The 22,386-nt window shown below is 56.3% G+C and overlaps 1 protein-coding gene and 1 long non-coding RNA gene across 6 annotated transcripts, besides 7 other annotated features; both read left to right on the forward strand.

Moving 5' to 3' along the window:
* Positions 164–823: a silencer, noted in NCBI's record as "silent region_16664". NCBI's record gives its function as "represses an Ori minimal core promoter by ATAC-STARR-seq in GM12878 lymphoblastoid cells {active_cell/tissue: GM12878}" and the evidence as "EXISTENCE:reporter gene assay evidence [ECO:0000049][PMID:35858748]".
* Positions 592–12,159, forward strand: TSPAN17 (tetraspanin 17). Of its 5 annotated transcripts, none has more exons than NM_012171.3 (9): positions 592–810; positions 4,724–4,774; positions 4,862–5,008; positions 5,851–6,021; positions 8,003–8,128; positions 9,186–9,242; positions 9,808–9,924; positions 10,003–10,064; positions 10,626–12,159. In NM_012171.3, exons 1-9 carry the CDS (start codon positions 724–726, stop codon positions 10,804–10,806), a joined length of 999 nt encoding a protein of 332 aa, NP_036303.1. In that variant the 5' UTR covers positions 592–723; the 3' UTR covers positions 10,807–12,159. The 5 variants fall into 5 exon arrangements, with proteins under 5 accessions (NP_036303.1, NP_569732.2, NP_001006617.2 ...); NM_130465.5 differs by having other exon boundaries at positions 9,186–9,233; NM_001006616.3 differs by having other exon boundaries at positions 9,186–9,233; positions 10,003–10,032.
* Positions 1,852–2,721: an enhancer, noted in NCBI's record as "H3K27ac-H3K4me1 hESC enhancer chr5:176075745-176076614 (GRCh37/hg19 assembly coordinates)". NCBI's record gives its function as "activates a minimal SCP1, AML or CMV promoter by ChIP-STARR-seq in naive H9 embryonic stem cells {active_cell/tissue: H9 hESC(naive)}" and the evidence as "EXISTENCE:reporter gene assay evidence [ECO:0000049][PMID:30033119]".
* Positions 2,839–4,637: an enhancer, noted in NCBI's record as "VISTA enhancer hs2007". NCBI's record gives its function as "enhancer in: heart[3/7]" and the evidence as "EXISTENCE:transgenic organism evidence [ECO:0001131][PMID:17130149]".
* On the forward strand, positions 13,331–20,635 carry LOC124901144 (uncharacterized). Its single transcript, XR_007059072.1, has 2 exons — positions 13,331–15,088; positions 19,785–20,635. It is a non-coding gene; the product is annotated as an uncharacterized LOC124901144 (long non-coding RNA).
* Positions 13,795–14,054: an enhancer, noted in NCBI's record as "active region_23690". NCBI's record gives its function as "activates an Ori minimal core promoter by ATAC-STARR-seq in GM12878 lymphoblastoid cells {active_cell/tissue: GM12878}" and the evidence as "EXISTENCE:reporter gene assay evidence [ECO:0000049][PMID:35858748]".
* Positions 13,795–14,587: a biological region, named in NCBI's record as "H3K27ac-H3K4me1 hESC enhancer GRCh37_chr5:176087757-176088480".
* Positions 13,864–14,587: an enhancer, noted in NCBI's record as "H3K27ac-H3K4me1 hESC enhancer chr5:176087757-176088480 (GRCh37/hg19 assembly coordinates)". NCBI's record gives its function as "activates a minimal SCP1, AML or CMV promoter by ChIP-STARR-seq in primed H9 embryonic stem cells {active_cell/tissue: H9 hESC(primed)}" and the evidence as "EXISTENCE:reporter gene assay evidence [ECO:0000049][PMID:30033119]".
* Positions 19,492–19,718: a silencer, noted in NCBI's record as "fragment chr5:176093385-176093611 (GRCh37/hg19 assembly coordinates)". NCBI's record gives its function as "represses an EF-1alpha promoter that drives an FKBP-Casp9 reporter gene in an ReSE screen in K562 erythroleukemia cells {active_cell/tissue: K562}" and the evidence as "EXISTENCE:reporter gene assay evidence [ECO:0000049][PMID:32094911]".
* Positions 20,636–22,386: the final 1,751 nt, after the last annotated feature.

A 22,386-nucleotide genomic window follows, 5' to 3' on the forward strand; every position in this document is an offset into this window, starting at 1 on the left:
CAGGCCCTCGTTTGGCCTGAGTTTGAGTCAGGATAAGTAGAGCTGGATTTCCGCTGGGTGAAGGTGAGCCTGATGCGACTCCACAATGACAAAACGTCCTGCACGTGTTAAAAACTCAATCCGGACCAGCTTCCCCATTCGCCTGCCAGAGCAGCAGTTAACCTTCCCCTGGGATGGGCTCCAACAGCAGGCTGGGGATTGGGATGGCGCTGGTACCCAGCAGGGGAAGCAAGGCTTCTACACCCCGGCGGCCTCCGGCGCCATCAGCCGGCGTCCCGGGCGGGTCTGCAGGACGCTGGGAAACGCGGCGGCGGCCTGCGCGGGGGCGGGGCCTGGCCGAAGGCGGGGCTGCGAGGAGGTCCGAATCAGGCTGTGGGGGCGGAGCTCGGGAAGCGGAGCCAGGTCCAGAGGCGGGGCTCAGGCGGGACTGAGTTGATCTATGGGGGCGGAGCCAGGTCAGGAGGCGGGACTCCAAAGGGACTGAGGGCTGTGGGGGCGGGGCCCGGTCCAGAGGCGGGGACAGCAGGGCTCCGGGCAAGGAGGTCTGGATGCTGAGGGCGGTCCCTGAGGGGCGGGCGGGGCCCGACCGGCGCTCTGTGTGGCCGAGGCCATGAAGCCGCAGCCGCCCGGCTAGGCCCCGGGCGGCTCTAGCCCAGGGCGGCCCGCGGGGCGCTGGGCCTGGCTCCCGGCTCCGGTTTCCGGGCCGGCGGGTGGCCGCTCACCATGCCCGGCAAGCACCAGCATTTCCAGGAACCTGAGGTCGGCTGCTGCGGGAAATACTTCCTGTTTGGCTTCAACATTGTCTTCTGGGTGAGCGCGGGGTCTGCGCCTTGCCCTGTGCTGGGGGGTGGTGGGAGAGGGAGATTCAGTCTTTTGCTGGGGGAGACCACTCCCTGCCCCAAGAGTTTGGAGCTCGGGACCATCCCCCCACTTCTGCCACACCCACGCCCACTTCCAGGACCACCCGAGGTAGCTACAGAGGCCCGGATTGCTGGGGGCGGGTCCTAGCGACAGCGTGGGGTCGGGGTTGGGGTAGGGAGTCTCCCTAAATAATCCCGAGGCCTGGTGGAGAAAGGGAAGGTGTTTCCTTGAAGACCCCAGGGGCGTGCTAGGTGCAGGTTGCCCCCTCTCGCCCAGCCCTCCTTCCTACCCTGGGATGTGGGATGCGTGCCAAGCCCCACCCCTGGTTTAGCCGGTAAGGAGATTCTGGCGTGAAGGGAGCCGCCAGGCCCCTTCCCCGGCCTCCTTTCCCTTCCAGTAGTACCTGGGTCAGGTGCCTCACCTTAGGCTCCTGCAGAGTGGGGTGGGTCACAGTCCTCTGCCCACCCCAGTCCCGCACAAGGAGGCTGACCTGCCAGGAGGGGCAGGGAGGGACAATGGCGAGTCCTTGGCGGCTGGGAGAGGATCTCCCCGGTTGAGAGCCTGGGAGCTGGCCTTGGGGAACAGAATTCAACATTCCACAGCTGACAAGCTGAGGCTCCTGGGCGGGTCTGCCCCTACCGGGGAAGGGAGCTACTAGTGCCCCTCCCAGGGTGGCATCTGTCCCCCTGGGCCCTGCCAGGTCATTTTTCCCATCTCTCCAAAGCCGTGGCCCTCTGCAGTCTCTGCTCCTGAGGCCTTGGGTCAAGATGCCAGGCCTTTTCCCTTGTGTTCAGCAAGACTCAGTGGCACTGCCCCCCACCCACGTGTCACCGAGCTCACTGGTGTGGTGGGTGTCCTTGCACTGCAGCGCTAGGCTCTTGAGGGTGTGGGCAGTGTGTGGGAGCACTGGCAAAGAAGTCAGAAGGCCTGGCTGTAGCAGGCCTGGCTGGGACACCTTGGGCAAGTCATCTCTCCTCTCCGGGCCTCAGCTTGCCTGCCTGGGAGACGACGATAAAGAATCTGCCTGTGAGGGCTGTTAGGCAGATACAATGAGTTCAATTTGTTGTATTCTCACAACTGCCTTATTATCTGCATTTTACAGATGGGGAAACTGAAGGAATAGACACAGAGAAATTAAGTCACTTACCTAGGGTCACACAGCCAGAAAGTACAGAGCCAAGGTGACGGCTTAGTGGGCAGAGGGTGGAGGTGAGGCAGAGCTGTGAGCAGAAGTAACCTCAAATACCGAGGGGGAGCAGGCGTGAGAGACCCGGGTTTGTTGCTGGGGCGGAGCGTGGGGTGTTATGTTAAGGTGGCATGGAGAAGCGAGGGCTTCCAGTGATGGGTCTGATCTGGCTTCTGTTCTGGAGACCGCTTGCCTGGCTGCTGTGTGGAGGGTGGATGAGGGGCAGGGCCTGGAGGTTTGGAATGGGGGCAGGGCTGGGGCAAAGCTGGGATGGTGAGGTGGGAAAGGTGAGGGAGGTTGCTGGGAAAGTCAAGAGGCTGAATTGACTGGGCTGGGTCACTTGGGGGCTGGAGGGAGGATTTCAGATTTGGGTTAAGGTGGCCTAAGGGAGGCTGCTTGTGGAACAGGCACAGAGGTTTTCATGTTTAATGTCAGGCAGACCCTGGTGTTGTTCTGTTTGGAAACTGCTTGTGGTTTCCTTTTTTCTTTTTTCTTTTTTTTTTTTGAGACAGAGTTTTGCTCTTGTTGCCCAGGCTGGAGTGCAATGGCACGATCTCGGTTCACTGCAACCTCCGTCTCCCAGGTTCAAGCGATTCTCCTGCCTCAGCCTCCCAAGTAGCTGGGACTATAGGTGTGTGCCACCACGCCTGGCTAATTTTGTATTTTTACTAGAGATGGGGTTTCTTCATGTTGGTCAGGCTGGTCTCGAACTCCTGACCTCAGGTGATCCACCTGCCTTGGCCTCCCAAAGTGCTGGGATTACAGGCGTGAGCCACCACGCCCGGCCATCCTGCTCGTGGTTTCTTACTGCTCCTAGAGTACTGTCGGCCTCCAGGGCCCCGCGGGGCCGGGCTGTCCGCCCTTCAGTTTGTTCCTTGAACTAGACGTGGTCTTGTGTCAGGGCCTCTGCCTGTGCCCTACCCTCCTCCTGGAACAGGCTTTTCCCTCTTGCTCTTTTCATCATTCAAACCTCAGCTGAAATGCCCCCACCCTCCCTTCTGCCCTCTCTAAAGCTGGCGTCCAACCCCAGCATCCCCCATCTCGTCGCCCCGCTCGATATTTGTTAAGGGGTCTGTTTGCATCTGAGGTTTCCTTGTCTGCTCACTGACTGTCCATCTCCCCTGCTGGAGTGTAAGCTCCGTGAGGGTCGAGTCCGTCCTATTCACCAGCGAATCCCCGGCATGGCGGCGATCAGTGCCGGTGGGTCGTGGAGGTGTTTGCTGCAGGCGGGTGGACGTAGGGGTGTGGGACCAGCATGAGGTCTGGGTGGGGATCGGGAGATGCCAGCGTCATGATGGGATGGAAGACGAGCGTGAGGAGGAAGAACGGCAGAAGGCTGAGGCTGGAGGCCGTGGGACCAGCCACAGGTGGTCCCTCCAGGAACACAGCCCTCCAGGAACTCCTGCTGGAGGCTGAGAGCTCACTTCCCAGCTGTTTTCCCAAAGTGCTTTAATTGTATTTCCTTGGCTCTGATTGGCTGCCTCTGGACCAATCCCCGGGGCAGGTGAAGGCGGAGCATCCTGGGAAGGAGCTCGGGGAGGAATGGGGTTGAGTTAACTGAGGTGGGGTTCAGGAAGGAGAAAGTGGCACTCAGTCCCCTGTCTGAAGGCCAAGGGCAGGCCAAGTGGGAGGAGGCAGGAGAAGTGATGTTTGGTTTCACATCAGCAGACCCAGCAGGCAGGAGGGAAGGGAAGATGTTTCCAGAGAAAGAATAGAGCAGTGTGGGGAGCCCACGGTCAGGGAAGGGAAGGTGATAAAGGCCTTGGCCGTGGCTATGTGCTGAGGGGAAGGAGCCTGCAGATAAAGCAGGTGGGTGGGGAGGTCGCAGGAGGTGGGGTCATGGCCCTGGGCTTGGGTACGACAGCCTTTCCCCCTCTGAGACTGCACGCCCAGGGACCTGCCCAGGGTCAGGTGTGAGAGTGACCAGCCTGGACATCCAGGGCTCTTCCCAGTAGGGAATTGAGGCAGGAAGGTGGGAAAGCTGAGGATGGAGGAGAGGCACTTGGACTGCCCCGGTGGGGAGTCTAGCTGGTGTTCTGAAGGCCCAGGCAGAGCTGTGGCCATGGGGCAAAGCCACTGGCACAGGCCAGATCCTAGGTGGATCCTGCTAGGGATGATTGAGATTCCTGTCATTCAGGGGTGTCTGGTCGTGAGCCGTGGAAGCTGACTCTGGCAGGCGGAGGTTAAAGGGGTAGGATGGGGCTGGGCTGGGGAGGAGTGTTGAGGGCGGGGCCGCAGTCACACGGCTTTAGGGTAGCAGGAGAGCTGGACTTGGCAGGGTGCAGAAAGGAGGCTAGGAGCCTGGAACCCCAGCACCAGCTTCGGTCAGGTGTAGAGGCTCAGTATACTGGCGCCGTCGCTACCCCCGCTGACACAGCTGCTATTGCTCCTTGGCAGGAGTGTCTTGGCCACCGTCTGCTCCAATTTGGAGTTCCAGGAAGGGGCCCCTGATGTCCATCCCAAGGCTAGCAGAGGGTTCAGTCCTCCAGGCTGTGTCCTGTGGGGAAGAAGCACTGGGATGTGTTCTTGGGAAGATGGAAAGGACCCCGGATCCCGTTCACAGCCCTTGTGCCTCTTCCTCTCTCCGCTGGAAAGGCCCTGGCTACCGGGGAAGGATGAGGGGGGAGGGTCCTGGGGCTGCTCCCAGCCCTGAGCTCTTTGTTGCTGCCCTTGCAGGTGCTGGGAGCCCTGTTCCTGGCTATCGGCCTCTGGGCCTGGGGTGAGAAGGTAAGGCAGCGGGCGGGCGTGGAGCTGGTATGGGACGAGGTGGTGGGAAGGTCAGCTCCCCACACCTGCCTCTGCTGCCCGGCACAGGGCGTTCTCTCGAACATCTCAGCGCTGACAGATCTGGGAGGCCTTGACCCCGTGTGGCTGTTTGTGGTAGTTGGAGGCGTCATGTCGGTGCTGGGCTTTGCTGGCTGCATTGGGGCCCTCCGGGAGAACACCTTCCTGCTCAAGTTTGTGAGTGCTGCCCTCAAGATCCCCTGGGAACCCCCATCTCCTCCCATCCAGTTCTTGCAATACAGTTGGAGCTTAATGATGGGTAGCTTTATTATTATGCTATAATCGTCATCGTTAGATTCATGTTGTCTATATTTACTAGGATCCTTTCCGTGGTATGGTAAGTGACCGAGACCTGGTGGCCCAAGCATAAAATATTTATTGACTCAAATAAGAAAAGTCCAGGGTTGTGCTGGCTGCCGGTGCATTTTGATCCAGGGGCTGCCACAGTTTCACTTGGCCTGGTTTCTCCCTGTTTCTCGGGCTCCCCCCGTTTGGCTCCATTCCCAGGTGGCAGGAGGCTCAGGAACAGAGCCGGCTTCCCCATGCCCTCCCAGGAACTCCTGCTGGAGGCTGAGAGCTCTCTTCCCAACCGTTTTCCCAAAGTGCTTTAATTGCGTTTCCTTGGCTCTGATTGGCTGCCTCTGGACCAATCCCTGGAGGCCGAGGGAGGCAGTGCTCTGATTGGTGGGCTTTAGGCACTTGCCAGTCCTGTATCTGGGACTGGTGGGTTTGGGGAGGTGTCTCCATCCGAACCTTGGAAACTAAAGGTTTGCATGGAGGATGGTTTTTCAGAGACAGCAGGGTGTGATTACCAGACAAAGGGAATTGGATGGGTAGGTAACAACAGATGCCTATTACCATCATATAACAATACTAAAATAATAGAAGGTGGGGGCTCTGGGCGCCTCTGGGTCTTGGTGGAGGTAGGGATGGAGCCCTTCCCTGTGGCACACCCAAGCCCTGGGAGGTCACCAGAGCCCTGCGTTTCCAACCCCTACTGTCTGTATGCCCAACCCCAGTTCTCCGTGTTCCTCGGTCTCATCTTCTTCCTGGAGCTGGCAACAGGGATCCTGGCCTTTGTCTTCAAGGACTGGATTCGAGACCAGCTCAACCTCTTCATCAACAACAACGTCAAGGCCTACCGGGACGACATTGACCTCCAGAACCTCATTGACTTTGCTCAGGAATACGTGAGTCCAGTGTCCAGCCTGGGACACCTGTAGGAGGCGCCTTCCTGGCAGACGAATGAGGGAGCAAGTTCCCTGTGATGGGACCATCTCCTTACCCACCTGGGCTAGCGGGCCCCAGGAGAGAGACCCAGGAGTGTCCTCGTCCGAGGAGAGCCAGCCCCTGCTGATCCTTATGGGTCCCCATTTGCCTAGTGCCATAGGGCCACGGCCTTGGGAAACAGAGGGCATGGGCTCCACGCTAGCAGCTCCCAGGCCAGGGCCTACGACACACGGGAGAATGGAGGAAATGTGACATAAAATATAGATTTCTACTTCTGCTAAACCTTGGGCCCACGGTATTGGCTGCAGCTATGTTGCTGCTGCCCCTTCACTGGTACAGAGGCTCTCTGTTTGCCATTGTTCCCAACACTCTGTATTTTATTATATCTGTCAGCCCTTATCTCTCATTTATACTATGTTTGGCCTCTGTGTATATTAGAGTTTAGACCCCTGATGGAAGGTCTGCCCTCAAACTTACAAACTTAACCCCAGTGAAGAGCAGCCAGAGAAGAGTTCCTGAAACCCTATCTGCCTCCCACCTGCACCATCTCGCCCACTCACCCCTAACCACAAACACACAGTCACACACTGTCACCCACAGTCACAACCACACCTAGTCACACACTCGCAGGCACACTTGATCACACCTACACCTACACATGGTCCCACAGTCACACATGAGTCACACCCGATCACACCCACACACGGCGACAGGCCCTTGGCACCATTCACCACCAAGAGTCAGCTCTGGATCCAGAGGTGAAGCAGAGCTGGTGCCTGCTTCAAGCAGCTCTCAACCCAGGGCAGAGGCAGACATAGCCAGGCAGTTATGATGCAGTTCATTCATTCATTCAGCACAGGATTGTTAAGGGCCTACCATATGCCGGACCCAGAGCCAGGCCCTGAGGATTCGGCGGGGAAGAAAGCTGGGACCTGTCCTCTCAGGGCTGGCAGTCGGGAAGAGACAGATGGTGAACAAGCAGAACAAACAAATGTGTGCATGTACATACGTGTGTATGCAAAATTGTACATTGTGGTAAGAGTCAAAATGAAGGGTGGAGAATGGGAAGGCCTCTGCGTGGAGAGCTTGAAGCCTCCCAAAGGAGGAGAAGGAAGAGAAGGGAGAGTGTTCTGTAGCAGGAGCAGCTGGCGCTGAGCAGGTGCCAGGAGGCAGGTGGAGGCTGAGCCCTGCCCTGGGACCAGCACATGCAGGGCATGTGGCAGGCCTGACTCCTCCAGCTCTCTGGCTCGGCCACGGGGCCTGCCTGTGTCTGCTGCCGAGCTTGAGCTCCCCCAGCCCTGTGGGCTGCTCTCCAGCCCCTGCGCTGCTGCTCAGTGAGGGCTGTGTGCACCCGTGTGCCCCACAAGACCATGGTTCATGGCAGATCCCAAACTCGCCATTGCTCCTGCCTAGGGGACAGCTTAGGGTGTTCTGGGTGGGGGTGATGGGGTGTGGGATGATGCCAGCCGGCATGGAGGAAATGGGGTGGCACGGCTATGGGGGTGGCAGGATTCCCCTCCTGTCCCTGCACTGAAGAGAGGAGGGCTTTGTAGAACCTCTGGGGCAAGTGTGGGAGGCCTGCTGCAGACATGGGGCCCAGCGGTCTCTGCTGCCACAGGGCTTGGCCCAGCGCCTGCCTCTCAGGTAGTCTGGAGGAAGCCACAGTCATTGAACCAGTATCCTTGTCCCACTCCCTCCCTTTTTCTAGCCTCTCTTGGGTCGGGGAAGGGGGAGCTCAGTGTCCCCTCCCTTGCACCCCTCTGCCTCCACCAGCCTGGAGGTTGGGCCCAGGCCTGTGGGGGTGGGGAGGTGGCCACCCACTTGGCTGTCCCAGCCCTGTCCCAGACAGCCCTGTATTCCTGCAGCCTGGGCTTGTTCCCAAACAGGGTGAGGCTCCTGGGATGGGCCTGGCTCACCTGGGGCTCTCCCCTGCCCCCACAGTGGTCTTGCTGCGGAGCCCGAGGCCCCAATGACTGGAACCTCAATATCTACTTCAACTGCACTGACTTGAACCCCAGCCGGGAGCGCTGCGGGGTGCCCTTCTCCTGCTGCGTCAGGGACCCTGCGGTGAGTGGGGCTGGGGGAGGAGAGGTAAGGGACTTTCCAGTGCACAGACTCTGGAGAAACCTCCCACAGGGCCCCGCTCCGCTCTGCCCTGCTCTGGGGGCGTGGATGCTGGGGGACGTCATTTTACATGGGTGGCACTGAGGCCTGTTGGGGCGCGGCTGCTTTCCCTGTTCAGCAAGACCTGTCTTTTTTATCGTAGTGAGATGGAAACAGCAGGACCCTGGGGCACAGGGATGGGGACTGGCCTGGAGGCCTCCCTGCACCCTATACCTCTACATAAACACAGCCGCAGCCATTGTCTGCTCCTGGCCAGCTTGAAGGTTGGCCAGGCTGTCACTCTCAGTTATGGTTGTATGTGACGGGGGTTGCCTGGGTCATTGCCAGCCAGCACCCCACTGGGCCACCGTTGCAGGGTAGCAGGGAGTGGGGACCTCTGTCCCTTTACGACTTTCTTCAGGGCAGAAACCTCTCCTGATGATGTTTCTTCAGTCATAGTCCATCTGGGATGCCAAGGACCAGGTTTCTCCCCATTCTTATAACACACCAGCAGGCAGGATTCCTGAACGGAGGCAGGTCCAGGTTGGCGATTGCAGCCACGCATTCCAGCGTCTGGGAAAGAGGCACGTGGGGCCAGGTGTGGTGGCTCATGGGAGGATCATTTGAGTCCAAGAGTTTGAGACCAGCTGGGGCGGCACAGTGAGACCTCGTGTCTACAAAAAAAAAAAAAAAAATTAGACGGGCATGGTGGTACACTCCTGTGGTCCTAGCTACTTGCGAGGCTGAGGTGGGAGGATCACTTGAGGCCAGGAGGTCGAAGCTGCAGTGAGCTATGATCGTGCCACTGCACTCCAGCCTGGGCAATGGAGTGAGACCCTGTCTCAAAAAAAAAACAAAAGCACATGGGCCTCAGAGAGGCTCACTTAAGACTGGTGGACACGGCAGAATCCACGGGCCCATCTGCGTCCTCTGAGAAGGAAAAGCCACCGCACTGCCCAGGTACCATGGACCCCATGGGATGCGTCCTCACCAAGTCACTAACTGGCCTGTCTCCCCTCAGGAGGATGTCCTCAACACCCAGTGTGGCTACGACGTCCGGCTCAAACTGGTGAGAGGGGTAGGAACCGGGCTGGGGCAGGCAGGCAGGGGTACTGGGTTGGGTATGAGAGTGTCTATAACCTCCTCTGGAAGGCCTCAGGGATTCTTTGGGGAGAGGGTGCTGAGTCCCAGGAACCAGCCAGACACCCAGGCAGCGGAGGGGGAGTAGACCCCTGGGCCTGGGCAGATGTGGGTTTGCTCAGTTCTGCTCTGTGGAGCACCCTTGGGGTGCCCGGCTTTGCCCTAGAGGCCAGAGATTTGGTGCTCATGAGACAGTCGGCTCTGGAGGAGTGGAGGGAGAAAGACGGTAAGCCCTTAGAGAAAGCAATATGAACAGCCATGTGACAGTCTCAGCTGAGAGCTTGGAAGAAAATAAGGGAGGTGATAGGAGAGAAGCTGGGCAGGCAGGAGGGGGCGTGCATCTGTGCTGAGACCCCATGAGAAGGAGCCGGCTTTGTGGAGGGACTGTGGGGAGCAGGTACTGCAGGTTTAGACCCTGGGGTGGGCGTGAGCTTGGCAGGCTGGGAGGGTGGGAGCCGGCCTGAAGGGCAGGTAGGCTGAGCCTGGTGCCTGCGTGTCCCCAGGAGCTGGAGCAGCAGGGCTTCATCCACACCAAAGGCTGCGTGGGCCAGTTTGAGAAGTGGCTGCAGGACAACCTGATTGTGGTGGCGGGAGTCTTCATGGGCATCGCCCTCCTCCAGGTACCCTTGTGGCCCCACGTGCCCCTCCCCTTGCCGGGGCCGCCCTCACTCTCCCCTCACCTGTCCTCTGTCTTACAGATCTTTGGCATCTGCCTGGCCCAGAACCTCGTGAGTGACATCAAGGCAGTGAAAGCCAACTGGTGAGGCCGCCAGAGGCCATGGCCACATGCCTGGCCTACGCAGGCCTCTGGGGGGCCCCCCAGGACCCTCCTACTATACTCCTGACGGGCAAGGCTGCAGGAGATGTTCCTGCTGGGACTGAGCCTTGAGGGGTTCGCCTGAACCGCTGTGCTGTCCACCCACGGAGGAAGTTGCTGTGCCTCCGCCTGGGCCTCTTGTCCCATATGCGTGTGTACACACACATGCAGGCACACGTGTGCACAGGGAGCCACCGTCTCGGCTACATTTGGGGTGGTGGACTCTCCAGGGGACTAGGAAGGGCGCAGCTCAGAGGGTGCAGGCCAAGTGGGGTGGGAGGTGCTGTGTGGAGGGTCCCCCCCGTTCCCTGCCCCCCAGTGCTGGGACGCACCTTTCTGTGCGTAGCTGTATGGGGCGCGTTGCCTGAGCCACTGCCTCACACAGCTTCAGAGCACTCTTTTCTATGAGCTGTAACTTTGAGCCTGCCAGGAACCCACCTCAGCCTCAGTGTCCCAGACTCTGAAATGGGTCCAAGAATTTTCTTTCTCTTGCTTGCCTCTCAGGAGCAAATGGAATGATGACTTTGAAAACCACTGGCTTACGCCCACCATTTCCGAGGTCCTGTCCACGGCGGGGCCTCAGCAGAACTCTCTGACTGGGGCCCCTGGCCCGGCCCCACCCAGCCGACATGTTTTCTTTGGCCTGGGTGGTTTATACCCTGAGCCAACCTTTAAAAATTGGTAGATTTCACATAAAAGTCCAGATCCACAGCTTCTCTTGAAGAATGACCACCTGGCTACGCCGGCTCTTCGGTGGCAACACTACCTGGGACACTGCCTCCCCAGTCACCAAGGGCCCCAGCTGGCCCGTTCTACTCACCTAAGTGCCGCCTGACCCTTGTACACTAGGAGCTGGCCTCCCACCTCTGCAGGGTTATTCCCTGCACCTCGAGGCCGCTGCGGGCCAATCTGGAGTGAAACACGGGGACCTGAAGGATGGAGAGGCTGGACCCCGCTTTGAAGAGGGTGCAGCCTGGGAAGGGCGGCCTTGCTGGGGACTGCGGTGGGAGTAGAGTGCCCAGGAGAGGGTCTGAGGGGTGGGATGGGGGTCAGGACAATTTTGCAAAAGAAGTAGCTGGAAGCCATGGGACTGGCGGGAGCCTGTTTGGGGGATCTGGATGGTTGACTCCTAGGAGTCAAGTTCAGCATCTTCACCGTGGCTGCAGAGCTGCCTGATGGGCACTAGAGGGCATGCCAGCCCCACACTCCCTGGGTCTGGCTTCCTCCCGCAACCTCACTCTAGTAGAGCCTGTGCCTGCCTACTAGCGCTCTGGGGTTCGGAGAGTTTGGGAATTTCTCAGAGCCAACTGGCTCAGGCTTGGGAAGGCTGGCTGCTGCCCTCAGCTCCGCCTCATCAGCTATGTGAAGGGGTGTGTGTGGAGTGATCCTGCCGCCCCCTCCCTGGGCTCGTCCAGAGATCTCAAACTCCGATGCCCCTGGGGCCACGTATGTTGTATAAATGGATGAAACAGGCCCTTGAGTTGGGAGCCTGCTTCACTTTGACTTTCCCACTGTTGCTGGAGACAAAGACATCGTGATGAGAGAAAGTTCGCACAATCTAGTCGGTAACAGCCACTTTCCTTGAGACCAAGAGAGTGCGGTGGGGATGGGGGGGAGAGCACGGGTCCCCGTCTGACAGTGGCCGCTGCCATATTCAGGTGTAGCTAATTGCTCTGGTGTGGGAATGCAGGCCTAATGACAGAAATCTGGAGAAGCCAGAAATACAGATTTGTATGTGAGATGTCCTGATTTTTTAAGTTGTTGGCAGAAATTAATTCAGAAATCAAATCTGCAGGCCAAACAAGGTGCAGGACCCAGCTTTGGCCCCATGCCCCTGTAGGTCCCTCTGGGACAGTCACCGCTGGGGTCCTGGCTGCTCTGTCATTGAGGGATGCTGGGCACTGCTGCCGGGTGGCCAGGGTATGGGGCATGTGCCCAGCAATGTGGCTCCTTGGCCCCGCTGGCCAGTGTCCTGGGCCCCTGACAGGCGCTGGCTGTGAGTGGTTTGTACATGCTACAATAAATGCAGCTGGCAGCATTGTGCATGTGTCTTGCATTTTCACTTTCATTTTATGCCTCAAACCACACAACACCCTGTGCGGTGGAATTTCTTTTCCTGATGAGGAAATGGACTCCGAGAGGGGAGGGAGGTTGCCTGGAGCGCACAGCTGGGAGGAGGCACACCAATCTGACCCTCCTGCTGGAGTTTCGCACCACACCTGTCCTGTGTGTCTGATATATTTGGGTAAAACCTCTGTACTCAAAATAAGGGCGGTACATTCATCCCCCAAGTGTGAGTTGAACATCAACTCAGGGGTGGAGATACAGAGAAGGGCAAGGTCTTGCCTGTGTGCTGCATTCTTGTGGGGAAGACATGGAAAGCAAGCTGGCCAGCATTTTTGTTAGTAATACATACTATGAATAAAGCAGGAGTGACTGCAGGGAGGCCTGGGAGAAGGCGAGCGGAGGGGCACCATCTCTGGGCTGCTCTGGGGGAACGATGTTCTAGGTTTTGGTACCAGCTTCTGTAGAGGCCTGGAAGCCAGCGTGGGCTCCATGTGAGGGAGCCTGGGGTGGCTGGAGAGGTGGGAGTGGGGAGGGGCAAACGGCATAAGCACAAGGAAGTGGTGTAACCAAGATATGTTTGGAAACAAGATTGAAGAGATGGGATGGGAGTGATGAGTAGGAGTGGTTGAGGCCCTGGCTGGGAACACGGAGTTCTCCAAAGCTCAGTTCTGCTACTGGATATCCATTCTTCCATCCATCCACCCACATTCACCATCTACCCGTCCATCCGCTCACCCACACACCCATCCATCCACACGTTCACTCATCCATCCATCAATCATCCACTCACCCACCCACCACCCACCACCCACCTGCCCATTCATTTACATGTCCATCCATCCATCCATCCATCCATCCACTTATCCACCTACTCGCCCATTCATTCACATGTTCACTCATCTATCCATCTATTCACTCATCCATCCACTCACCCACCCTCCCACCTACCCATGCATCCACACATTCACTTATCTATCCATCCACCCACTCTTCATCCATCCATTCATCCACCCACCCACCCATCCATTCATCCAGTCACCCACCCACCCTTCCTCCATCCATTCACCCATCCACCCTTCCTCCATCCATTCACCCATCCACCCTTCCTCCATCCATTCACCCATCCACCCTTCCTCCATCCATTCACTCATCCACCCACCCATCCCTCCATCCATCCATCCATCTTCATCCTCCATCGACTCACTCAGCTATCCACTGCCATTCACTTAGGTAGGCCCTAGCTAGAGGCTGGGGTTACTGAGGCAGCTCAGACCTGCCCCTGCCTTCCCAGAGCCCAGTATCTTGTTGGAGGCAGACAAGGAAGAGTTGCTAATGTGCAATGTATACGTGGTGACAAGGACGTGATGATCACTGCTAAGTGGGGTCTTGGGCTGGCTACAGACAAATTTCCTGTCCCCCAGTAGAACTTAGAGCAGTTCTTTGCACCAAGGGGCTCTTACCCACAGATGATGCAGCTTCTTCAGATATGCAAAAACACAAGGGAGCTTGTAAGACTGTCCATCCCTCTAGGAGGGTCCCTGGGCCTTGGGACCAAGGTCACCTCCCACCGTCTGTTAGGATGAGATGCACACTCATCTGTTAGGTAGGGACAGGTGCATACTGGTAGAGACAGGTGCACACTGTCTGGCAGCCTGGGAGTCCCCTGTCTAACCACAGGAGAGGCTGCCAGCAGCTCCCTGATCAGCTTGGTGGGAGGACATCCTGTGACACCAAGATACCCTACAGAGAGAGCTGGAGGGACAGAGAACACCCAGGCTGGCGAGCTCCTTTATCTCTGGGTGAGGTGGTCATATGGGCTGGAGAGGACGGGCAGGAGCTCCTTCTGGGGAGGCTAAGGCCACAGATGCCTTGGTGGTAGCCACTCCCAGTTACCACCAGAGGGCGCCAAAGTGCCGCCCACGCAGCTCAGCCGGCTCAGCTCGCGGAAGGAGCTCTGTGTAGAGTCATTGGGGCGACCCCTAGGGCCAAGCAAGCCCATGCCATCGTTCCAGAGACCCTGGGCCCACCCCGCTGGTGCCAAATCCAGGCCTTACCACCCTCTGCCCTGTCTTCTCTGGGGAGTGGAGCAAATGATGCTGCCTGCCCACGGGTGCCTCTCTCAGTGCTTACAGGGCCCGAGCCCACTTGCTGGGCTGGGTGGGTGGTGGTGTCCGCCCGATAGAGCTGGAGAAAGGGGTGAGCGTCACTCTCTCTAGGAGGATGACGCAATGTGCTCCACAACCTACACCTCCATTCACTCATTCAGCCAGGGCAGCGGAGCACCCCGTCGCTGCCAGGCACTGCCGCGGGCACTTACGTGAGGGACAAAACAAAGGCCCCACCTCGTGGAACTCACAGCCCAGGCCAGGAAGCAGTCGGCTTTGTCTGCCAAAGGTCAAATATAATGGCAAAAACCGCAACTACTTTTGCACCAACCTACTTAAATCCGCTAGGCTGTTGGGCCGTGCTCCCCTTGACTCTGCCTTCATGGTGGAAAGCAGCTCCGGGTGGGGCTAAGCAGTCTCGTGCGGGGTGTCCCCATCACATCGTACTTGTGGACGCTGACGGCGAACCTCGTGTGATTTTCATGGGTCGTGAATATCATCCTCCTTTTGATTTTCAGCTATTAAACAACAGAAAACCATTTTTGGCTCTTGAGCTCTATAAACACAACTAGCGGGTGGGATCCACCCCGCGGCTGGAGTTTGCAGACCTGGGTCCAGGAAGGAAGGAAGGAGACGGTACACAGTGAACATCATCGCGTGAGCCTGCCCTGCTGCCAGTGGGGACACAGCGGACCAAGCAGGGGTGAGGCAGGGGGCAGGCCTGGCACTAAATGGGGCAGTCGGAGCGGGCCTTGCTGTGAATGCCAGATGGAGCAAAGACCTTTCATTTTAACGGTAACACATTTTTGACAGCACAAGTAAAATAGGAACCCATTCTACTTAGAAAATTGGCTGGGCACAGTGGCTCATGCCTGTAATCCCACACTTTGGGAGGCTGAGGCAGGTGGATCACCTGAGGTCAGGAGTTCGAGACCATGGTCTCACCGTAGAGATATGGTGAAACCCTATCTCTACTAAAAATACAAAAAAAAAAAAAATTAGCCAGGCGTGGTGATGGGCGGCTGTAACCGCAGCTATTCTGGAGGCTGAGGCAGGAGAATCGCTTGAGCCTGGGAGGTGAAGGTTGCAGTGAGCCAAGATCACACCATGGCACTCCAGCCTGGGCGACAGAGCAAGACTCCATCTCAAAAAAAAAAAAAAAAAAAAAAAGCCTGTGCATTCAGCCGGTTCGTGTCATGACTGCAGGGGTACCTCCCAGCAGGGGCAAGCCATGCTTTTCCTTTCTACCCGATGCATGAGGACTGTCAGGCTGTGCCCACTTTGGGGCCCTTCCCACGCTAAGGCATAATTGGTACAAGGCATGGCCAGGACCTCCTGCTTCACTGGGCAGGAGGACGAGGGCCATGGGAGGGTAGCCCCAAATCAGGGCTGATGATGGAGGTAGCCCCGGCAGGTCCCTGCTCAGGCCTAGGGGCCTGATTTCTGCTCCTCAGCCCAGGCGTTGGCTTGATGGGCAGCATTACCACAGGTCTGGCGGGTCTGGGCGTCAGCCCATCAGAGGTGGGAAAGTCACAAAGGAACCCCCAGCCCTGCCAAGGCTGTTGCCACAGTAATGCCTCCCTGGCCCCCTTGGCAGCTATGTGGAGAGATAGGGACGTCAGTACCCTGCAAAGAGAGGGGCCTCTGCTCTGGCCCAAGCATCCAGCCTTTGACCAGAGGCTGCCTTGGGTGCCGGAGGCCTGGCTGCACCTGCACACCTGGGTCCTGCTTCCTGGGATCATCCTGTCTGGGAATTAGCTCTCTAGGTCTGCCTTCCCGCCAGAGAGCTGCTTTCCTCCACCAGCCCCTTCCCAGGCTGCTCCAGTCTGTCCCACTCTCAATCTGTGGGAACCTCCCTGGAATCATGCTTAGGGTGGGTGCAGTCCCCTCCAGCAGGACCATGTGGAATCCAGCCAGCTTGCCATCAGCCAGTGTTCACCAAGTAACATTGTGCGCCGGGTAGTGCTGGGCACCTGGAATTCATTAGTGACTCCAACACAGTCCCTGCGCCCCAGGGCCTCACCGTCCGGGGGAGACACAGATAGGTACATCACCAGGCTTTAAAAGTGATTGATTTGCTGGGTGCGGTGGCTCACACCTGTAATCCGAGCACTTTGGGAGGCTGAGGCGGGTGGATCACGAGGTCAGGAGATCGAGACCATCCTGGCTAACATGGTGAAACCCCATCTCTACTAAAAATACGAAAAAATTAGCCAGGTGTGGTGGCGGGTGCCTGTAGTCCCAGCTACCCGGGAGGCTGAGGCAGGAGAATGGCGTGAACCTGGGAGGCGGAGCTTGCAGTGAGCCGAGATCATACACTCCAGCCTGGGCGACAGAGTGAGACTCTGTCTCAAAAACAAACAAACAAACAAACAAAAGAAGTTATTGATTTGTTCAAATAGGTAGTATAGGCAGGTGGCTAAAAACCACACACTGCATGGAAAGATAAGTGCAAATCCCCTCTCTCCCCTGTCCCGTGGTCCCCTTCCCCTCCCAAGGACAATGACTGTGGCCAGTGCTGTCTGTGCCACCCTGGACATGGGCTATGCCTTAGAAAGCCGAGCTCCTCAAGAAACAAAGCAGGCCAGAGCCACATCCGCAGACCCGCATGGCCCACCGGAGGCCTCCGTACACCCTGTCTGCGTTTCTCACTGACCAGCATTTCTGGGAGATAATGATGTGTCAGTACGTATAGATCTACTCAGTTATTTTCAACAACAGCAAAGTGATAATAATAGCAAGAATTTATACTTGCGATGTTCTGGACGCTTCTTGGAGCACTTTATTTATATTAACTGATCTACTCCTAAGAATTCAAGGGACAGGCACCTGCTGGTCTTGCTGCACAGGCGAGGAAGCCAGGAGTGCCCCATTGGGTGGACACTGCCCGACTGACTCAGCCCATCCTCTTGGACATGCAGGAGGTTTCTAGGCAGGAAACACCCTTGGATTCTATCTTTGGGCACTTGTATCTCTGTGGGATAAATGTTTGGAAGTGAATTGCTAGGTTAAAGGGCAGCTGCATTTCTAATTTACATAGCTGTTGCCAAATTGCCCTCGGAAGAGGTCATACTGATTTACGGTGCCACAGATACCGTTGGGCAGAACCCTTGCCCTCCCGCTGGCAGCAGCCGGAGTCCCCCCTGCATTCACCCACCTGGTTCATCTTTGTCAATCTGTTGGAAGAAAATGGTTTCTCTTTGTGGTTCTCCTTTGCACGGCTCCTATGAGAGAGGTTGAGCGTGTGTTCATGCAGATCAGTACGATTTGGCATAGTCAGAATTACCAGAGTGAGCTCCAAGGGGTGGGGAGCCCCCGGGCTGGAGTGGTTCTGTGTGAGGTAAGGGAGCTGGTGGTCTGGGAGTCTTGCAGGTCGGTGGTGTGTTGGGTAGAGGCAAGGAGGGTGCTCCTGGTGGAGGGACCGGCCTGAGGAAATGCTCAGACGGGTGGGAGGCAGGAGTACCTGGCCTGGCCCCTCTGCTCAACAGTAAGCCACATGGCTCCTGCTCCTTTGGTCCCTAAGCCCCAGCCAGGTTTCTTCCTCTGCTCTCTTTCTCTGCTTGAGCTAAACTGCAGTTCCTGGGGGAGGGCTGGGAGAAGGTCTCCGCCCTACAGGGGGCATCTTCCAGCATCCCCAGAGGGAGCCTGACCCCCAGCATTCAGTGAGGAATCCCCCATGGCCTGCTCCGTGTCCTGGGCTCCTCCTGCCCCTCCCACCCACCCCAGCTGCAGGGGCGCTTACATCCTCATTAACACGGCTCAGTGGCTGGCGCTGGGAATTGATCTCCCTCAGGCCCAGTGTGGACAGCGGCTAATGGGGATGAATGGGGCGGGAGGTGCTGCCGAGGGACGGTCGTCCGGTGGCCCACACAGGGCGGAGAGGTGGGCAGATGGAGATGTGCAGAGCCAGGCCCCGCATGCAGCTGGGACGCCTGCAGCTGCCTCGACCGCTGGCCAACCTGGGTCCTGGGGCAGGATGATCAGACAGGGGGATGCGGCGCGGAGGCGGGGAGCTCTGGAATTCAGCTGCTCATGGGGGTGGGAGCAGGCCGTGGGGATAGGGCCCAGTCTAGGAAGTGGAACTGGAGTTCTGGGGTGGCATCCAGGAAGGCTATGAGCATCGGGACCCCAAGGTTAGGCAGGCAGTGTTGGAGGGGAGTCAGTGTCGGGGAGGGAGGGAGACACTCCGGAGCTGAACCTGGCAGCATGGGGCAGGCAGGATGCCATTGTTTAGTCAGTCAACCAACACCAAGTGCTTACTATGCACCAGGCACTATGCCAAGGACTGGTACCCATATGAAGTGGCCAAGACAGTCAAGATCTTCTTCCAGGGATGGGGGGCATAGATGATGATACACGCTCAGAAGAAAGTAAACACGGTTATGTGACAGGGTGATGGAACAGAGGTGCTAGTTGAAGAAGATTTCCAGGGACGTCTGTCTGAGGAGGCAGCATGTGGGCTAAAACCTGTGTGGTGAGGAAAAAAATCATTCCAGGCAAAGGGAACAGGCAGTGCAAAGGTCCTGAGGTAGGAATGGGCTCGGGCATTTCAGGAAAAAGAAGGGGCCATTGCGGCTGCAGTGTGGCCTGTGAGGAAGAGATGAGCTGAGAAATGGGTGGCATTAAAGCAAGGAAAGTCACAGTCAAGGCCAGAGCCAGGTCTAAGGGGTCAGTGGGCGGGACCCCCTTCCTAAGTGGTGTGGACCATACACAAAAGCTGAGAGTGAGGTCCTGTCTGGCTCAACTTGGCCTGAGGACCCAAGGGAAGCCAGGCTTGGGAAGACTCCATCACTGCCTGATCACTGTGCCTGCAAATGGGAGTGGGGAGGCCCTGGGAGTCTGGGCCATCCTTGGCCAGATGCAGAGGACACAAAGAGGCCTTCCTGGCCACTCTAGGAGAGGCTATCCGGCCCCTGCTGCATGCATGGCTCAGTGACCTGTCTCGTCCCACTTCTAGCTGACTTGAGAACCCAGCTCCCAGCAAATAAGAAACCTATTCATGAGTGTTAAAGTTTTTGTTTTTGTTTTTTTGCAACAGGATCTTGCTCTGTTGCCCAGGCTGGAGTGCAGTGGTGAGATCATGGCTCACTGCAACCTCAAACTCCTGGGCTCAAGTGATCCTCCCACCTCAGGCTCTCGAGTAGCTGGGACCACAGGCAGGTGCCACCATGCCTGACTCATTTTTTTTTTTTTTTAGTAGAGATGGGGTCTCACTATGTTGCCCAGGCTTATTTCGAACTGCTGGACTCCAGCGATCCTCCCACCTTGGCCTTCCAAAGTGCTGGGATTACAGGCGTGAGCCACGGCGCCCGGCCTGAGCTTAAAGTTATACAATAAAGCTCAGTACTGAAGCAGGAGGCAGCCAGCCCAGCAGGCAGGGACGCTCTAGAATTCTTTCAGGGCCTGAGACCTAAAACCCACGTATTTTTTTATGGGCAATTTAAGCAATTTTCAAGGGTGATCTTGACTGTTCTTTTGATTTTTGTCATAGGTGCTGACCTCGCTATCAAATACCCAAGTTGGATGTTGCTGCCACAGATCCTGTGGGCTGAGGCGTGCCCTGGACTCTCACGGGACAGGCGCTGGCAAACCAGGGGAGGGTCTCACATGAAAGGACCACAGCAGACTCGTCCCTTTGTCAGAGGAAAGAAATAGAATACTGTTTGGATTACAGATACTAGTAAAATATGATCTTGAAAAAACATTTGATAAATTACAGCAGGAATTTATAATTTAAAAAAAATCGCCAGGCGTGGTGGCTCACGCCTGTAATCCCAGCACTTTGGAAGGCTGAGGCAGGTAGATCACCTGAGGTCAGGAGTTCAAGACCAGCCTGTCCAACATGATGAAACCCCGCCTCTATTTAAAAAAAAAAATTAGCTGGGCATGATTGCGCATGCCTGTAATTCCCAGCTACTCAGGAGGCTGAGGCAGGAGAATCGCTTGAACCTGGGAGGCGGAGGTTGCAGTGAGCCGAGATCGCACTATTGCACTCCAGCCTGGGAGACTAGAGCAAAACTCTGTCTAAAAAAAAAGAAAAATCACAATTTCTTAGCAACTAGAAATAAAAGGAAATTTCTTTCACCTGATAAAGGGCACATATCAGACATATGGAAGAAACTTTATACTTCATGTTGAAACATCAGCAGCAGGAACAAGACAAGGATGCTGACTCAGTGCTACAATTCAGCACCGTCATAGAGTCCTAGCCAATGCAGTAACACAAGAAAATAAATAAGAAGGATAAAAATTAGCAGGGAGGAGACAAGGGCAGGAACCATCTCTGTCCTCTTGTTTCCAATTAAGCAGATACCTAATAAATTTTATTAAATTGGAGGAAAATTCATTGTATCCTTAAAGAAGGTTCTTGAAGGTAACAGAGCAGAATGGATCCTTTAGTAGCTAAAGTCTGAAATATTCAGTGGTCGTCAAGAAGTTCCATTGGTCATGGACCTGCCAAAAAGATAGAAGCACGATAAGACCAGAGAAGCATGAGAGAGCCCTTGGGATGCCAGGAAAATTGTTTTCAAAATAATTGGTGTTGATCCAAAATCAGGGGCATGATGTTTGGGTCGGTGGGGTCTCTGTGGCAGAGGACTCAATGGCCCCTGGATTCTGAAGTGGGAGCACGGGGCTGGGGGAACAAGCCAGGCGGTGTCTTCCAGCCAGGGGGAGCTGCAGGGAGAAGAGGAAGTCTTTTCACTCTTTGCCCTGGGATACTGAACGTCAGAATATGTTGCTGTTTTCCATGGGGTTCTAGAATATTGAGTTTAATTCCCACTTCTCGTTTATTCCCTGCCAGGTTTGGGTTCTTGATGTGTCTATGACACACTCAGGAAAGGTAGCCCCGGCTCAGGGCAAGCTGTGTGTCGGGTACCTACTGCATCTGCCTGGTCCCCATCTCTCCCCCAGCTTCTGGTGGCGGCACCTAGATTTTCCTTTGGGGAGAATCCCTCCCTCCTTGATTTCTGTTCTCCAAAGGGAGTGGCATAGGACCCAGGCCTGACATCAGCACATTCCATGGCCTTGGCTGTGGAGAGGCACAAAGGATGCCTGCTCCTGGGTCCTCACTGGGACAGAGAGGCTCCGCTCCCTCCCTTGGAGTTCTAAAAGCTGTTGGTGACCACCTTCCTGCCTGTGGTCCCAGAGTGAGGCTGACAGAGAAACATAGAGTCCAGAGAAGGTGGGCAACCTTGGCTTGGTGATGGCACTTGAGCTGTAGGTGTAGCCATATCTTATGGCAGAGCCATTGTTTTGTCTAAGGGGGTCCGAGCTGGGTTTCTGTCATCTTCAACTGAAAGTCCTGATGGACATAGTGGGAAAGAAGGGAGAAGCTGAAGGCCTGGGTCAGACATGCCCTGTCTCGGGGGTGGGGGCGAGATGCAAACCACTTCCAGATGGAGCCCAAGCTTCTTCCTCTGTCCCATAGCGCCCCTCCCAAGGGAGCTGATCCCGAGATCCCTAGAGGAGTGGAGGAATGATCAGGCATCATGCTAAGGAGTTTTTGTAAAGTCAATTTATTGAGTCTAATTTACATACATCGAAGTCTCCACACTTTAGGTGCATATTTCAGTGGGTTTTACAAATTTATTCCCCTGTGTAACCACCAAGATAGAGAACATTTCCATCACCCAGAAGGTGCCCTGTGGTCCTTCTATGTCAATCTCTGCTCCTACCCTGCTGCCAAACAAACATTGAGCTGCTTTCTGTCACTGCGGGTTAGATTTCTATTTTTTTCTCTAAAGTTTTGCATATAGTCAATCCTCAGTATTCACGGATTCCATATTTGTGAAGTTGATGACTTGCAAAAATTTATTTGTAACCCCCAGATCAATCCTCGTGGCACTTTTGTGATCATTCCTGGACATCAGCAGAGCACTGAGAAGTTTCGTTTGTGGATGCACACATTTCCTGCGGAGGTCAAACTCAACGAGCGACTTTCCCCCGTCTACTCAGGGCCACCTTTCCCGCATTTTTGTACTTTTTGTTGGGGATTTCGCTGTTGAAAATGGCCCTCAAGCATCAGAGTGAGGCCCTGGCTGGTGCTCCTTGATGCTAGAAGGCTGCGATGTGTCTTACAGAGAAAATGCATG

The sequence above is a fragment of the Homo sapiens genome, chromosome 5 (assembly GCF_000001405.40).
Source record: "Homo sapiens chromosome 5, GRCh38.p14 Primary Assembly".
In the NCBI taxonomy this organism is placed as follows: domain Eukaryota; kingdom Metazoa; phylum Chordata; class Mammalia; order Primates; family Hominidae; genus Homo; species Homo sapiens.